Below are 18,787 nucleotides of genomic sequence, written 5' to 3' on the forward strand. Positions count from 1 at the left end.
AGGTAGCTGTGGTTATTGTTATAAAGCAGGAGTATTTATATAGTTCAATGTAATTATTAGGATAGACCATAGATCTGCTTTTGAGCCCTTGAAATGTAGCCCAAATTGAGATATGCTATAAATGTAAAATACACACTGGGTTTCAAAGACCTAGTATAAAAAACAAAGAAGGTAAAGTATATCACTAATAAGTTTTTACATGCATACATGTTGAAATGATATTTTAGATATATTGGATTAAATTAAATATGTTAAAATTAATTTTGTATGTTTTAAATATTTTTAAAATGGCCACTAGAAAAATTAATTACACATGCAGCTTGTATTTGTGGTACACATTATATTTCTACTGTACAGTACTGCTATAAATAATAATAATTATAAACCCATGAGTGGGTTTAGTTTTACTTAGAAATCTTGTCATAAATTTTCTCTCATGTGAAATGTTGTCACCCATAATGAACTCTTATAAATTCTTATATAGACATGTAAAATATTTTGAAATATTTTATTATAGGATATATAGAAAATATTCTCAGGATTATTAATTTGTAATGACATATTAATATATTATAATTTGATATAAAGGCTCTTTTTATATCATATTTGCAAGATGTCTTCCTTATGTAGGCTGTGAAAAAAATAAAGATTTACTTGGGTATCATATATTTATACACCCAGTTAATTTACAAATGTGAGGGTAACTGAAGACCTGTATGATAATAGATGGGAAAACTTAGTTAATTTTGCTAAAAGGAATGCAGTTTACCAGAAGATCAGTAATAGATTGTGGTTAAAAAGTGGTCCTAGAGAAGCCTGTGTAAGTAAAAGACATTGTCTAAAAGCTGTGTGGGGATATAGGGTTGTTCTATAACTGTACATCCTGCCTCTCAGTGTGACCTTGAGCATCATGGACTATGACGAAACCCTAGTTTCTAGCCATGTGACCAACTAGTTGTTAAGAAAACAGGCTTGTATAAATAAATTCACCCAAAGATTCATGCTGAAGGCCTCAGATTCCATTTCTATAAATTGAGATGCTCTCTGATAACCTCCAGCTCAAAAGGAGATGATAATACATGACACATTCAAACAGGTAAGTGGAAATATATCCCTACTTTTTACATTTGTATATGCCACATTTATAAAGAGAATAACTTTAAGTATTACTTTACCCTATACCTCACAAAAAAAAAAACAAGAAACTGTCTGAACATTTATGACAGAAAAGACATATGCCTAGATTCCTCAGACCCCTGCTGAGGTATTCAGGGACTCTCTGGACAAAGCTGTGCTCAGCGGAAGTTTGGGCTCTCTGGTTCTGGTCTTTGTTTCTGTTTCTAATACACATTCATACTAAAAGGAACTGAAAATTGAGGTACAGTTCTCTTAAAATTACTCTGTACCCTGATTTCCACCTAAGTCTTTAGTTGTCTTTCTGAAAACTTCCCAGTACAATTTTAGAATCTCTCTTCAATACCCCTGTTTCCATGAGTCTATTCTTTACCACCCAAACCTTCTCCTACTAGGAGTCCCAGGTAACTTGTACCTCTGGTTTTTTTGTTTGTTTTTGTTGTTTTTTTTAGAGATGGGGTACCACTCTGTCTCCCAGACTGGAGTGCAGTGGCACAATCTTAGCTCACTGTAGCCTCAAATTCCCAGATGAAAGCGATTCTCCTGCCTCAGCCTCTGCTGTAGCTAGGACTACAGGTGAGCACCACTGCACCTGGCTAATTTTTAAAATTGTTTGTAGAGATGGGTTCTCGCTTTGTTGCCCAGGCTGGTCTTGAACTCCTGGCCTCAAGTGATCCTCCCACCTTGGCCTCCTAAAGTGCTAGGATTACAGTTGTGAGCCACCTCATACTGCCAGTACCTATATTTTGACCCTCGGTGACAGCTTTTCTTTATACTAATTTTCATATGAATCTTATTCCTTCTACTGAAGGAATTCCTTGGTATAACTTTTCTTATACTTTACAAACGCCATGAGTTTGACTTTAACGTTTTCTATTTTGGTGTACTCTCCCTAGTTGATCTCCTCAAATCTGTAGCTTCAATTACCATAAATATACATATGTATATATAGTCATACCTTGTATAACAGCATTTTAGTCAACAACAGACCACATATAGGATGGTGGTCTCATAAGATTATAATAGAGCTGAAAAATTCCTATTGCCTAGTGATCTGTATCACAATTGACCACTGTATTCCATATAGTAATGCTTAAGTTCTCACTAAGAGGCAGGTTATACAGTTATAGAACAACCCTATATCCCCACACAGCTTTTAGACAATCTCTTTTATTTATATAGGCATCTCTAGGACCACTATTTTGTACAATTTTGTAGCCTAGGAGCAGTAGGTTATAGTATCTAGGTTTGCATGAGAACTACATACATACTCTGTACTGTTTACACTGAAATTGCCTAACAACATCCCTGTCGTTAAGCAACACATGACTGTATATGCATTTATGTGTGTGTGTGTGTGTGTGTGTGTGTGTGTGTGTGTGTGTGATCTAAGCCCAGATCTTTCTCCTGATATTAACCTGGTATCTCTAATTTCCTACTAGATATCTTTACTTGAATGTGATACTGGTATTTCACACTCAACAGGTTCAGCATGTTCATCACCTTTCTACTCCTTAAATCTATGTTTCCCCTTGTGTTTTTTGATGTGAGTAAATGGCACCACCATGCACCTAACCTTCCCAGTCAGAAACCAGGATATCATCCTTAATTAACCCCCCTTCCTCACTACCGACATACATCCAGCACAGAGCAGTCCAGTACTTTCCACCTTTTGAATATCTTTGGAATCTGTATCTCTCCATTTCCAGACCACTCCCATAGCACAAACCACGATTATCTTTTTCTAGGATTTCTGCAGCAGCTTCTACTTCCAGTCTGGCATCCCTCCAATCTCATCTCATATTGAAGCCCAAACAATTTTGCAAATCTAATCATATCACTTCCAAATAGAGCCTCCATTGGTCCTTGTTTCCCTTGGTATAAATTCAAATTCCTTGATTTTGAAAAACAAAGCCCTAACATGCAACTCTACTCAACTCTCCAATTTCATCTCTTGTTCCCATCTTACACTCAAGCCATACTGAACACTCAATTCTCTGAATGGAACCATTCATATTTATTCACTCTCTGTTTCTGTCATTGTTTCTCTTGGACTCTTCTTGTCTTTCCCTGTCTGCCCCACTGTCTCTTCCAGGACTTTGTAGATGTCTTTCCTCTGCTTAGAACATGTTTTCCATTTTCCCATTTCATCTTTCCCTCTTTGTGAAATTTACTTTTGTTTATCTTTTTGAACTCAGCTTAGTTGTGACTTCTACCAGGACATATTTTTCTTAGTCTCAGGCTGAATTAGGTTCCCCACCCATTTGTTTCCACAGTATATTTCTTTCATATTTATGGTAATAATTACCGTGTTTTATGATGCCTAATTATTTGTTTGCTTCCTCACTGTAAGATTTTTGTATCCTTGAATACAGGGATTGTGTCTTATTCAATATTATGTGCTAAGCACCTAGACCAGCACATTGGAAGTACCGAATAAATGAATGAACTTCCTACAGTATTTAGTCAAGGGGCTTGCATGCAATAAATACTCTACTTCCTAAATTTTAGATAATTTTTTTTGTGGACACTGTAACAGGAACCAGTCATTCAGAAAGAAAGAGGTAGTATCGAAAGAAAGGACAAAACTTATGATCTACCCAATTTTCCAAGTAGACTCAAATTTAATGTTGAGATATAAATCATCTGCACATTCTATCCTTGTCTCATCCTACAGGCTAATTCTGCAGACTTTACTTAAATTTCTCCAAGAACACAAAGTGGCCTTGCTAGGAATCCCAAAATAAATAATGTCGCTGAGCCAGAATCCTAGAAAGAATATGTGGATACGTCCTTTCCTACTTGTCTTTTATTCCTCTAGTACTATTTATCAGGTAACGTTTTCAGGGTTCTCAAAAGAAAAAAAGCAAAAACCTTATATCTTTAAAGGATAATATTTTACTCCCTTCACCTTGAACTTAGGTTTAAATTAAAATTAGGTTGAATTTAGATTTAAATTTAGGTTTTAAAATGTGTACATTCTTTCATAATCTTGAGATACTCTGTTTTATATTACTCAATAAAATGATAAGGTTATTTTTTACACTTAGGCCCATTATAGTTTTATAGTAAAATATTCAAAGGCCTTGCTGTCATGAAAGGTTTTGCTACACATAAATCAGGCCTGCTTGGTACATAGTGATAAATGTGGTAAGATAAGTCATTCACTCTTACTGTCATTCAGATGGCCAATGATGGAGCTGTCCTTGTTTCTCCAAATAAGTTTTATTATGGAGTTCTGCCATAATAGTCTGGACAAACAGAATGAATTTAGGTCTCATAGACCAAAACAAATTTAGAAGTGTAAAACAGTCACTGGGCCAATTCTCCCAACTATGGCATTTGTAATTTACATGGTCTCAAAATATTGAAAATTAGTCTTACAAATAAAAAAAAAGTACAAAAAAAAGGCTTTGCTTCTAAGAAATACGAGGGTTACTTATAACCCAGCATACAGAGAACTAAAGAACAAACAGCAGATAAATAGAAATGAAAAGTCTGCAGATTTAAAACATAGCAAGTGGCCAGGCGTGGTGGCTCACGCCTGTAATCCCAGCACTTTGGGAGGCAGAGGCAGGTGGATCACATGAGGTCAGGAGTTTGAGACCAGCCTAGCCAACATGGCAAAACACCGTCTCTACTAAAAATACAAAAGTTACCTGGGTGTGGTGACGGGAGCCTGTAATCCCAGCTACTCAGGAGGCTGAGGCAAGAGAATCACTTCAACCTGGGAGATGGAGGTTGCAGTGAGCCAAGATCGTGTCATTGCACTCCAGCCTGGGTGACAGAGCAAGACTCTCTAAATAAATAAATAAATAAATAAATAAATAAATAAATAAATAAATAAATAAAAACATAGCAAGTAAATAAATTATACTACTTTTTCCCTAACCCTGTGATGGTGTATTATTATAGGTGACACTTGCTGTCCAGTGGCAGGTTGACAGGTTGCCATTACTAATACATGATACTTGGATGTGCCTAATTACCATGGGACACTAGTATTGCCCAAAGCTACTTCTAAACTTCCATGTGATGACTAATAATTGTACTTGGGTTATACACACATTGGAAATGTGGCTGGCAAGACCTACTGATACTCATATGAACCATGTGAGTACAGAAAGGAAAATACATACCCTTCATTATCTTGTTCATTTCTGGGAGTTCTCAAGTGCTTCTTTTTTTTGAACTGGGCTGAACATGCCATGTTTATATTCTAAGAGTCAGATAAAGGAGTATAATATAATTAACCCAAACATACAGAGTATCCTAACATACTTATGACAGATTGCTCATTAAAAAATCCCACATCATTAAGATAATCTACACTGATGGAAGGACATGTTAGTACTTTTTTTATATAGCTCAAACTCACCACACCATATCAAGCTCTTTAGTGTTAAGATTTTGTTTTCTATAGATTAGAAACTATGAACCAGGATAAATTAATCATTCAAAATATGTTAACACAAATGGGCATTTAGTTAAAGCTGAGAGATATCATATTGAATATGGTGGCTAGTCTCTCAATATGATGCTTAATCATAATTTTTAAGAGTCAAAAAGACTTTTTTTCTAATTAGAGCAGACAATGTGTCAGCATACTGTAGTTCGAATTGACTATATTATTGTGCACTCATTTTTGGAATTTCAAGTAAAAACAAGAAAAAGCATAAGGGATCTAATACAGAGCTCATCTGTATTTCAGAAGAATTAGGTCATGACCCATTTCATATCTTAAAGACCCAAGAAAGCTACTTGAATTCTTCAAGGCAAATAAAGAATAAATTCTTTCCTTTACCCTTGCCTGTAGCAGAATTTTTCTCATGCTTGTTATGTGATCAAGTGATCACTTTCTTAGCTATAATCAGACTTGTCAAGACATTAAAGAAGAAAGCAGCAGACTCTGGGCTTCTACTTGCAGCTTGGAAAACGTATTAGTGTTATGGTATAGCCAAACTCCCATATTTGTTAGGATGACTAAAAAGTAATTTGGCTAAGAGCTTGGAAAAACATGAGTCATTTGCTGCCCCAGTTTCTTTTTTCCCCTTGAGTGTCATCAAATGATAGTAACATATATGCATGTTACAATCTGATACAAATAAAGAAACAAACAGCGAAGGGAGGTGGGGTGGGGAGGGGCTGTGCAGAGGGGTGGGGTGAGGAGGAGTGGGGAGACAAAGAATAGACTGTTTGAAGGCCAAAAAAATGTTATTTACTTACATTGGAGAAGTAAGAGAAGGAGAACATAGTGCTAGGTGTCACTACAGCAACCATCCCTTGAAGACTGGGGAAACTTGTCTTGGCTTTGACCAAATGGTAGTACATGTCTCATTCCTAAGGATAGACAACATAAGGTTGGATTTTACCATAAATATATCACTCATTTCACAAGAACAGAGTTGGGGTTGAGGTGAATCTTGATATTGCTCTATGCTACAGAATTGACATCAAAGAGATAAATTAGTAATAGGTTTTAGCACCTAAGAAGAATAAGCACAATCTCCAGGCTGCTCATTGAATTTGGAAGACATAATGACAATGATATCACTGAAAACACTAGGATATCATTGACAGAACTTCCAGTACCGATAAATTCATAGATTTAATGATGAGTCAGGTGAAGGTTTTCAAATGCAGAGGAGGCAAAAAACAAAGTATAAATATTAGAAAGTAGATTCTGCAATGAAAGAACTAAGGAAAATTAGTATGGGGATATAGATCTAGTGATTTAAAAAGCGGCAAAGAATTCGATCAACTCTGAAGGAAATTTTGTAAGTAATCAAAAGCCCACATTTATTTAAATTAGGTCACAAAGGGGTCTTTAGAAGAACCAAGCTAGGATAATTTATTCATTAAAAAAATTTCTGCAACAATATTTTAATTTCAAATGATTTTTGCCTTGCTACTTAATACTGTATTTCTCAGTCTTAATGACTGTGCCAGTGAGTTCATTTGGGATAATTCTGTTTAAAAATTAGAAAAGCAAAACATTACTTTTAAAGTATGCCTGCTGATTCTCTTATTAATTGGGTTTATCAATAAAATGGTGAATAAACTGGTTTAGAAATTAAAACACTGAACTAAGAATATGTGGAATTAGAGTCTAGTTTTAGCTTTTTCACTGATTGGGGTGCTTATGAACAAAATCACAACCAACCTGAATCTGTTTCCTTGCCAATAAAATGAAGATAAAGTATCAGACACCCTACATTTTCCATGAGTGTTTTGAGAGTGAATTAGATAAAGTCAGGAACAATCGTGCTCATTTGCAAAGTACTTGTAAAAAAGAGGGGTATGGTTAAAACTCACATATTGTGGTTGCATCGAATTTCTCACATTGAAAAAGGCTGTGTTTTATTTAGAGTAATCAGAATTGTGACAGGGTCAAGGAGAACAGATAGATGTTAATCAAAGTCTTTTAAGCTTTTATGTCCACAAAACCAGAACCAATATGTGGGCCCAGGGCATTGATACAAAATGAACTCTGTTGCCATTCCCTCTTAGCCAAATTCTCCTACTTCCTGATCAAGGGATTTCACTAAGTACTCCCTCCCGGTGGAGACAGTTGATTCTGATCCCGGTGGAGACAGTTGATTCCGTCTGGTGAGGTGAAATGACAACACAGTGACTCCTCCCTCTTCTACCACAGGCTTACCAAAGGCCCAATGAAACCCAACACAAATACCCTTAGGTTACTTCCTTTTTACCTTTGGTTCTTCCTCTTGCTTCTTCACAGACATTCCATTTGGTTTGATGATCAGCTTCATACAGCTCTTCTAAGGATTTCTAGAACAAACAACTCAACACCAATATGGGCAGTATCCATTTGCACTGCTTTGAGGGATTTGTCCTTTGCCTCACAAATTTCAAGTTAGAAGCACTTGGTCTGATACAAGACAGTTTAGGATTATAAAGCAGCAATAAGAGCAAGAAGAAAAAGGCTACCACATTCATATTTATCAGACTGAACACATCTTTATTTTCCAGGATCTCCCCCAGGTTTTACCCATTTTTATACGGGATTATGGATGTCCAAATAAGTTTGTCTTCTTTGTCGATTTCTCCCATTTGCCAGTTAGGCTATTTTATTGAAACCTCTCCCTTGGGTATTGTGCCAAACAGGAGAAAAGTAGGAAAATTCAAATTCACCAATTGTTACCTTCACTGGAACCTCTAGTGAGAAGTTAAATAAACACACCAGGAAATTTCAGTAGGGGTGTTAACAAAAAAGGGGATTTTCCTGGAAGTTTAACGGGTCCATTTGGAACCCCCTAATAGCAGGAGGGAGGGTTGCTAAAATGCTAGATGAAATGCTTTCACCATGTGGTTCACACCCCAAGAACAGTCTTCTGGCTTGAGCATGCTGATAAAAAGTCTTACAATCATATCAAGATTTAAATTATTTATAATTTCTCTGACCATATTGCAATTGAAAAGTCAAGAGCATATGGCACATTTTTCAAGAAATCCTTTTCATTTGGCTCCTGTTGATATAATACACCAGGGGAATTTGACATTCCTTGCTGATCTTGAAGGAATCCTTTATAAATTTAATACTGGAGGATGATTTGGTAAGTTTTTCTTCTTTTTGCTTTGCTATTTCACTTGCTTCACAACCTCCCCTGCCCAAATTAGGTTAGTATTTTGAATTATGATACAGTCAAGGCAGGAAAATTTCATTTGAATTTATGGTATTTTTCATTCTGTGTGACACATGGAAGTGAAATTACTGGGGAATGTGGTAAGTATCCATGAAATTCTATAAATACATATCAGTGAGGAAAAACTCTAACAGCTATCTCAAATGTGATGGTGGAGTTCAAACTGGCCTGAAGGATAGTGGCTAGCTAACACTCAATAAAATGAATTTGCAGTCATATATGCCCTTTTGCATTTCTGGTTATGAAGATGTTTATAACAGAACAAACTTCTCATGGCAAAAGATAAATTACATTTGTAAAATCTAAGAAACAAAGAGATGTGTATGACTCACGTAGTGATTGTACAACATGAAGCAGAACTGGCAACCAGTTTTTGCCAGTGTGATTGAACAATCGCTATGACTTCTTAATTTTATCTTTGACTTCTAAGAAATACTGGTTTCTATAGCAGTAGTGTATTCTAGTAGTGTTATTGACCAGATCAGAGCACTCAGACCTCTTGTGTAATTTAAGTGCACTACTATGCTCTTTGGAGTAAGTCACAATTTTCTTTCCTAAGGTCTATTTTCTTATATAGAAAGGGGATAGGCTCTGATGTACACTCCTCTTTTTTAAAAGTGAAATAAGATATGTATGAAAGCTGTCTAAAGAGCAGAGATGTCATTCTTAACAAATCATGTAATACTTTGTTTTCTGCTCTGGTGGACTATATAGTAATGATGGAGATGACTAACGATTGAGATGTAGATTGCAGATATCACATGTATCCAAACCTCTGGAACTGGAAGTGTGACAAATACACAATGGCAATGATAATTTAAGCCTGGTATAGTCAACAATTTAGTCTTCTGTATTTGGAAGACATGTTTGTGTACAGAATTTTCACCAGAAAGTTTTTATAGCAAACTTTTTATGTCAGAAGTTTATTTTATTGGTAAAATATTAAATAATATACAGAATTAAAAACTGCACTTACACTTCTGAGAAGAAATAAATCTTGGACAAATTATATGCTTGTTCCTGAGATTCCCTAAATTTATTCCAGTAGCTGTGCACTCAGACAGTACAAACCTTTATAATATAATCCTTTTCACAAAGTATTACAAAGTTTCTGCAGCTTCTTTAGTTGTACACACATACAGACACACACTCACACATGCATATACAACACTCATACACATATACACAGTAACCACATACATGCACAGAACATGTATGTGTGTGCATTAAAAACAAAGAAGATACAAGTCCCACATTTTAGTCTGCAGTGATAAAACTATTTAGCGGAGGTCTCCAAATCAGTATGTAGTAGAGTGACTTGTCACACAGCTGCAAAGACTGTTTCAGTATTTCCATAGTAAACCTCATTTTCTGAGGTATGGTATTTGAGCCTTAAAAAAACTACATTACACTTAGCAAACCTGACATACAAGGTATGGAATTTTAACTTTACATATATATTTATATATATATATATATATTTCTTTTTTAAACAATAGTTTTTATTTCCCCAAATTATTAGTTTGAAAAAAAATGAGGTTTACTGGTTTGACCTATTTTTTTTTCTTTTTTTGCTTCTAAAACACAAAATACCCTAGAAACTGTCAAGCAATTAGTCTTTAAAATAGTCTAATTACCTTTGGTATTGTTAAAGAAAGAATATCTAAAATGGCCAAGACACATACTGTACAAATGCAGAAATGCAGTAACTGCCTTTAAAAGAAATGCCAAAGAAATGTTATCTTTTAACAAAACATGTATTTATATTACAGCAGTTTTACTACAGGGACACAGGTATAAAAAAAGAAAATTAGCACACTACATATAAATATGTATAAGAAAAATACCTCTTACTTAAATTTGTATGAAAACAGGACTGCTCCAAATATTTTTAAAAAAAATTTCTCCAATAGGTGATATGTAAGTGTTTAAAACTCAGCTAAGTGCTTTGCTTTTATTTAAAAGTTTATTTCTAAAAGGGGAGAAGTAAAATAAAAATATTAAGTATTAGGTTCTTAATTTAGAGCATTGGGCGAGGGTCTAAGAAGATTCAATCTGTAAAAAGTTCAACTTTAGGACACATTTTTCAAGCAAAAGATTACTAATTTCCATGGAAATTTAGCTTAAATAAAGATACCATGAGATCAGACTAGTGGTTTCCACATTCTGTAATCTTTTGATTGTGGAGTGTTTTTCTCTTTGCTTGTTGTGTCCTTTAACATACTATGACTTTTATGAGTTTCTTTTTGTCATTAGCTAAAGGAAGAATAGGTCAGAAAAGAAAAAAAAATCACCATAGTTTTTAAGACTTCAAGGGGAGTATTGCACTTGTACAGAAAGAAAAGAATAGTATCTTTTTAACTAATAGCAGAAGCAATCATTCTGGGATTGCAAATAACACATGGTCTAAAAGGTCCAACTATTAACAGCAAATATGGGGCCTGGAGACCCCCTCCAAACCTGGAATATTATTATAGTAATGTTAAAGCATTTTTCTCCCAATTAGGAGAAAGTTAAGACTCTTTGCTTTACATTTTTAACACCTTTCTAAACACTTGCAAATAACTGTCTAGTCTTTCATGATATACATTTTTTGGAGGAAAGCCAAATCAGAATGTAAAATCCAACAATAAAGGAAAGCAAACATACTATAATAGGATTACATAATCTCTGAAGTAATGTTTTAGGTACCCAATATTTGAAAGTGAAAGTAACATGAGGGTTACATAGCTTACTATTTTTAATCCAACCACTTTTCTTTTTAATAGAAAACTACACTTGAGTATAAAAATACGTCAGCAGATTATACAACCAACAAAAATCACGAAAAAAAAATTAAGATTAAATTACCAATGAACTAGAAATAAGAGTTGACCTAATCTTCAAACTTTTAGGAGAACAGAGAGGTAAACATCCATAGACAATGACAGAAGGGAGACGGACAAAGAAAGAGGCTGAGGGAGATGTAACAAAATTTAAGAGATAACAGAGAGACCTTTGTTACACAGAAAGGGAAGGGAGTTATGTTCAAAATCAGAATGCTTGACTGTAAAAAATTTTTAAATCACAGTTTCAGAATTTGAACTACTTAAAAAAAACAAGAATAAAACAACAAAAAAACCCAGATCCCTTCCCTTGTTACAGTGTAGTCATTTTTTAAAAAATCAATTTCCAGTAAATTAAAGTAAGTAAAATCTTGGTAAGTGCATAGTAGGGGATTCAGTGACCTCCACCTGCTCAAGAAGCTTTTCTTACTATCTGTCACTTGAGGTAATTTGAAGGCCCAATTCACTGCAAACTCATTTATTTGTACCTATATGAACTTATATGCTGTACTTTATGTGACTTAGCAGAGGGCCTTTAACTTTTATATTTTATTCACAATAAAAAGGACATCTTAGAAAACTAGTCATTCATGTACCACTCTCTGTATGGGATAAAGGTTAATACACAACACATATTTTATACAGAAAATATACAAATGCAGTGTTATGGGAGGAAAGCCCCATAAACAGAATTATGAACTTATTCCTAAGAGTGCAGGTGAAAAATATCCTCAAACTTACAGTACAGCAAGATAAAACTAAAAAGCTAGAAATAGAATATTACATAAAAACCTTATGGAAATTCCAAAGTTTAAGGTTTCTGCAATAAATGTAAAAATATTCAAGGTGTCATTATTTGGCCTAGTAATACACTATGATAAAAAGAAACACTAGCATATCACAGCTTCTTGGTCATATGCCATTTGCTTTGTATAACCAGCAGCTCATTTTTTTAAAAAGCTGTCATATCCTAACACACCCATTGCAAGTAATACACAACCATGATATGAAACCATTTGAGATTATGCTTTGGAGAATAGCAATGTGATATGACTGTTCAGTTTTGCTTTGTTCAAGGAGAATTAATTACCTGCTTTTTCACATTATTCCATCAATTTTCAATCTCTATTTTCTAACAGATTAGAAAATACAGATTCCAAGACTAGAACAATACTAGTCTGGAGATGAAAATCCAAATGAATACTGTATTTTATTGACCAAAAAATTATCTAATAAATTCTTGTTTGATACAGAACTTATTCTTCCTTAAAAACAAAACAAAAACACAAATTATAATTCAATTCACAGGTAAAGTTTCACTCTATATTTTACCTGCATAATCTTGTAATCATATTCAGAAATACTATGAAACTAAAAAGGTAGTAAAGTCTAGTTTCAAAGTTTCCTTTTCCTTTTAACAGCTGAGCTGAAAATTTCTCTATTAGAAATTGCTCTAAAGATTTGCACTAAAAATGCAGAGATGAATTATATAGTACTCAATTTTAAGTGATTTTTAAAAATGCATATTAAAAGTGTTGTACAGCTGCAACAGCTAACCAACACTCTCAATGCATTTTAAAAAGGCACCAATATAAAGAACATAAGTATTTAATACATTAAATTCAGGATTTAGGAGACCAGTTACTGTATATTTTAATTATTTTGCAGAAACTGGAGAATTAAAAATATGTCTAAGATAACTTTCATATACACAAACTTCAATTTCACCTCTTCCCACTTTTTTTTTCTTTTGGATTTGGGGAATTTTCTGGTTTAGAATAGTCTTCATTCAGATAGTATTTATTAAAATAATACATAAAATGCAACTGATGATAAACACAAATGTAATTTATCCATTTTTGGACGTGAACAATCCAAAGTTAAAAAACAAATCATGTAGCTAGTACCTCTGACAGTTTAAGTTCTGCCTGAAACTAGGGGCACACAGTTTTTTGCTTGTATTTTTACAGCCCCGTCTGCTCTTTTTGTACCCTAAGAAATCATTTTGGAGATAGGATGAAATAAAATTTGGAAGATAGTGAGAACATAATAATTTTCATCTAAATGCCTTAATCTGATGTAAATTTTGTTAAACATTTATAAAATACCAAAGACTTCATGGTTTTGTGAGTTGTACAACTGAGATAAAAACTATAAAAACAAAATACCGGGCTCACTAAACTATTCTTGTCTTTCTCTATTTGCCAATAAGTAACTGTTGATAATATTTATTTTCTGAATTTTCTTCGTATTCCAAAAAACTTTACATTAAATATCTTTGAATGTATATCCAATCAGCTTAATCATTGTTTGTTTCACTTTGTTCTGTAAGTAGATAATAAGGACCCAAAGTTTTAGTTTAAGAGTTGCCACTGGTCCTAAAGACACACTAGTAACTTCTTTAGTGATTCCTATTACGACCTGATAAAGTAAACCCAACTAATTTCTTGGTATTAACTGTCATTTAAATTCTCTGTATGTTTTTGCAATACATCTGATCACTCCAACTGCTTTTTTTTCCATGAATTCTCTTTAAAAGAATGTGTGTGTAGTATACACACACATATACCCTATGATTCATACATACAATTGCCTGTATGTATGTAGGGGAGATACTTTCTACTACGTAGCCAAATCTAAGTCGTAGTTTCTTATTTTCCCAATTTTGTCCCTTTAGGAAATCTCAATGGAATATTTCAATGACTTGAAATTTCTTCCAATCCGCCTACTGATCCCTTTCCCTGTCTTAAAAAGGTCCAATTAGAATGGCTTTTGAGCATGATTCATCACTGTCAGAGAGAGGCTAAGATAAAATTCTGGGCAAAATTAGGGCAAAGCAATGTGATGAAATTCTGAACTTTTGCCAAACTGGAAAATACAGAAGATAACCCATTTTCATGCTCCTCAAATACTTTCTGTAATGTGAAATCTCACCTAAACAAACTGGGCATACAACTGTTATGTAAAACTTGATTTATTTGGTGTCTGACTCTTATGTTTATTTTTAGATGCTACAACCTTGCGTATTTCCTTTTGAAGAAAAGGCATGCACATATAACCATCCAGAGTTTCTCCAAAAACACTACGTCCACAAAAATTCTTTCTGACCCACAAATTTGAATTGACTTTGTCCTCAATTGTCCCTGCCACACCCTGAGCCATATCCACCTCTTTCTGTTCCTCATGAAGCTAGGAAGATACAAGTATATGCTTGTAGCAAATGCACTCTCAACTACTAACTACCTTCAATAAAACAGATTCCCAAAAAGATGAAATCAGAAAAGGAAAGTGCCTCAGCACTGTCTTCATAAGGTTTAGGGTCCACCTAAATTTAGTTTCATCCTGGGGCAGGTAGATACATGATTGTTCATATACTGAAAAAAAAATAAGTAGGAAGAAAATTCATAGATAATGCCAGCAGAAATTCGCACACAGCCAAAATTATGAACATATTGACTGACATCCAAATGTTTCCTTAAATTGCAGTAAAAGACAAAATTGTGAACCTTAAAATTATTTACCTCATCCAAAAGGAAAAAAAATGGCATCCCAATTATTATTTGGGAGTGGTTGGGTGGGGGGGGGTGAGCGAGTCTCAAAAACATGCTTTATCTTTAAATAGGTTGTATGTTCACTATGTACCAAGGCATGCAGAAAAAAAAAAATGAAATGGTTGACATTCTATATATCTCTGTTTTGGTGCATTCCCTTAGATTTAAAGGGGGCAGTTTGGACATTTTCCCAAAAATAATTATGACAGGGACTAGTAGAAGAGAGCTGAGTTCTAACCATTTTTGCCTAGTTCTAGCTGTGTTAGTGCTTAGAAGTGCTTAGCTGGTGCCTACCATTTAAATAGCAAATAGTAAGCTGGAAAATGAGTTAAGAGCAGTATTGGGGCCAAACTTGCTTATGTCCACAATTCTCTTGACTTGGTAATTCTCATACCACACTGTATTAAGATACATAATTTCAGCATCCTATTTAATGATCCTTTAGAGCAGTTATCAGTTACTGCCTAACAGAATTTCAGTATTCACAAATGGTTATCAGATAATCCAGTCACAGTCAGGTCTGTCCTCCCCAAACAGAAGCAGCAAGTTCTGCCTTCCAAGTATGTCCCCCTAAAATGACTTGAATCAATATCACTCGGTTCCTCCCCTCTAATGTGGCTGGACTGCAAAGAAAAAACAGAGCGCCCACATAAATGAAATTAAAATCTGCACATGAAATATGGCAACCTATACCATGTAAGGGGAATTCTATACTAAGGGATTGAGATTCATTTCTGACAAGGACTTACACAATTAAATGTTTTGGAAACAGAAAAATGTGCAGGACTTTCCTTTGGGGGTTCTGTCACATTCTAGACTCCAAGAAGGGTAAAAGTAAACTTTCTTATTTTTTTGTTTCTTTTATCTGTTGTCCAAGGTACAGGTTACAAAGAAGTCCCATTCCCTTTTCTTTGCAACAAGAGTAGTAAATACTACTGAAGAAATGCTAAAATAAATAGCCCTAGTTCTGTAACCTTACAGGGTTCAAGTTACCAGATTCAGGCCAAATTAGCAATTGCTCTGAGGAGATTTTGAAAGAAACAGCCGACAGGAAGACTTTTAAGACCTTCTACTCGAAGAGTAAAGGATGAATGAACTATGGACAGAACACCGGGAGGTCACATCTTGAAAAAAACTAGTGAAAAGAGAAATACCAGAAAAGGGATTTCTAAGTGGGTTTTCTCCCCCTACTGTTAGCATAATTATATTTTTCTGCTGACTGGTTAACACTGATTAAATGCTGATAAAGTGACAATCGTAAGCATACTTTTAGAAACAAATACATATACTATGCTGCCATCACATTACAACTTTAAAAGAAAACCTCTCAAACAAATTTATGAAAGTAGAAGTCCCTCCCAGAAATTATTGACTGCCTTTTATCCACTCTTAGACCATATGTTATTCTGAAAACTACATAAAAATACTATTCCTTAAAGGTGTTAAAAGTAAGGCTGCCAGGGTGTCTATAAAATGCCAGTCATCAAAACTATGGAAAAACAGTGCTTACGTTTAGAAAAATAAGATCACAGGACCTCAGATGTATTGTAGGTGGCCCTTAACTACCTGTAGTTTAAAAGTTTTGCTATATGGTACAGTGTAAAACATACTGAATTATAAATTCCATAGGGGAAGTAAACATAGAACCCACAACAACTCAGCTCCTCTTAGGAGTTATCACTGAAAATAACAATGTGTTTGTGTTCCATGATCTCTGAAGAACAAAAAATTGGTTTACAGTTTGAAACACATTCTTCTTTCAAGAATAAAGTTACTTATACCATTTTTAAACCACCAAAGTCCTACCCAGAAAACTCTGAACTTTCCTGTCTTCCATCATAATTCTGAATATCAGTGGCAAATCAGAATCTCTTAGGTGAATCTTTATGAATCAAGTGATTTTTCAAAGCATGATATGCCTTGGTAGAAATGGACTGCTCTTAAATTCCCACAAAATAAACAAGCCAGGTGATAAAGAAACAATATTCCCGCCCCTTCTCTCTTCTGTTTCTTCCTTATCGTAATTAGGCAGAGCAAATGACACTGCCTCCACAAAATAAGAATTATCAACAGTAATAATATTAAAAAAAATAAAAGGTATGTCAACATTTGAGGAAAGGTGGGATTGTAAGTGCAGTATTTCTTCATGTGCAGTTCTTTACTTCATAGGGGTCCCCTTTGGAATGAAAAGGCCTAGTGGAATGTGTGCTCCCCTCGAACAATGTGTGATGAAAACTCATAACGGTCCTGGCTTCTGTAGCCACAGATGTTGCATTCCAGTGGGTCCCGGTAGCCATGGCAACCCATGTGAATGGTGTACATGACATGGTCTAGGAAAAGGACTCGGCAGTGCTCACACTTGAAGGCCCTAATCTGTTCTCCTTCTCCATTGAAGACCTTGTAGATGTCCTTCAGAGAGCCCTTAGGAGCCTTGGTAGTATCCAAAGCTTTGACATCCTCCTTCATGTAAGCTGGGCTTTGTTTCCTCTTGGGATTTAAGGCAGGGTGTCCTTGGTAGGACTGGTGGTCATCATGGCTGCTTTCTGAGTCAGTGGAATCCAGGCAGCTATTGCTGGGAGAGGCCTCTCTTTCCTGGGGTCGACTCTTTGGTCTGATGAGAGAGATGGGGCCATCCATGTTGTTTTCATGACTATCAGCAGTTTCCCTGCTAATGGGTCTTTCTATCCTATTTGGATGATAGACCTGAGAATAAGCTGAGCTTATAACTGGGGCCACTTCAGCGATTGTGCTTGGCGGGTGCTGCATCAGAGGGTGAAGGGCCTCAGCTCCAAGGTAGGTGATTGCATTGTTGATGGCTTGGTCCATCATATGAGACTGCATCAGCTCAGCCTCCTTCTCATATGTTAAGTTCATATCAAAGTGAATATCTGGGTAGCTGAATCGCATGAGCTTTTCCCCTGGAAGGGAGTGGGAGGTGAAAGAAGTAAAAAAAAAAAAAAAATACAACAACATTAGTATCAGATTAAAAATATGAAAGGGTACGAAGTTGACTGATTGCCTCCATTTTTCATAATTTGGTATATATTACTCTATAAGTCAAGTATTTGGGCAATTCTGCTGATGCTCACACACATTTTTTTTTTTTTTGAGACAGAGTCTCAGGGTGTGATCTCTGCTCACTGCAACCTCCACCTCTCCAGTTCAAGGGATTCTCATGCCTCAGCCACCTGAGTAGCTGGAATTACAGGCATGCGCCCCCATACCTGGCTAATTTTTGTATTTTTAGTAGAGATAGGGTTTTGCCCTGTTAGCCAGGCTGGTCTAGAACTCCTGGCCTCAAGTGATCCACCCACCTTGGCCTCCCAAAGTGTTACGATTACAGGCATGAGACACTGGGTCTGGCCACAAATATTCTTGACATGAAAAAAATATAAAAGCAATAAAAATTTTGTAAGCCATTTGCATTTGTTCTGATGCCATCATGAGAATGCATCTAGTCTGAAAGATATGATTGAGTTTATCATATTTTCATTTTCTTTTAAAATTCTCACTTGAATAGAGCTCAAGGAGAATAGGAGGAAGAATACCCAGTAAAAACAAGTCAGAGACTATGCTTGATTTTGCATATTTTAAACATTAGTGACCAAGC

General features: G+C 35.1%; 1 protein-coding gene across 30 annotated transcripts in view, besides 1 other annotated feature; it reads right to left on the reverse strand.

Moving 5' to 3' along the window:
• Positions 1,242–1,301: an enhancer, noted in NCBI's record as "active region_17058". NCBI's record gives its function as "activates an Ori minimal core promoter by ATAC-STARR-seq in GM12878 lymphoblastoid cells {active_cell/tissue: GM12878}" and the evidence as "EXISTENCE:reporter gene assay evidence [ECO:0000049][PMID:35858748]".
• The window catches only part of IKZF2 (IKAROS family zinc finger 2), a 152,759-nt gene continuing 143,680 nt past the window's right edge, over positions 9,709–18,787 (reverse strand). For all 30 annotated transcript variants that reach the window (NM_001371277.1, XM_047443727.1, XM_047443725.1 and 27 more), the window contains one exon: positions 9,709–18,095. In NM_001371277.1, the coding sequence (NP_001358206.1) occupies positions 17,371–18,095 (725 nt within the window). In that variant the 3' untranslated portion in view covers positions 9,709–17,370. The remainder of the gene's footprint in view (positions 18,096–18,787) is intronic.

Source organism: Homo sapiens, chromosome 2, assembly GCF_000001405.40.
Source record: "Homo sapiens chromosome 2, GRCh38.p14 Primary Assembly".
Lineage (NCBI taxonomy): Eukaryota > Metazoa > Chordata > Mammalia > Primates > Hominidae > Homo > Homo sapiens.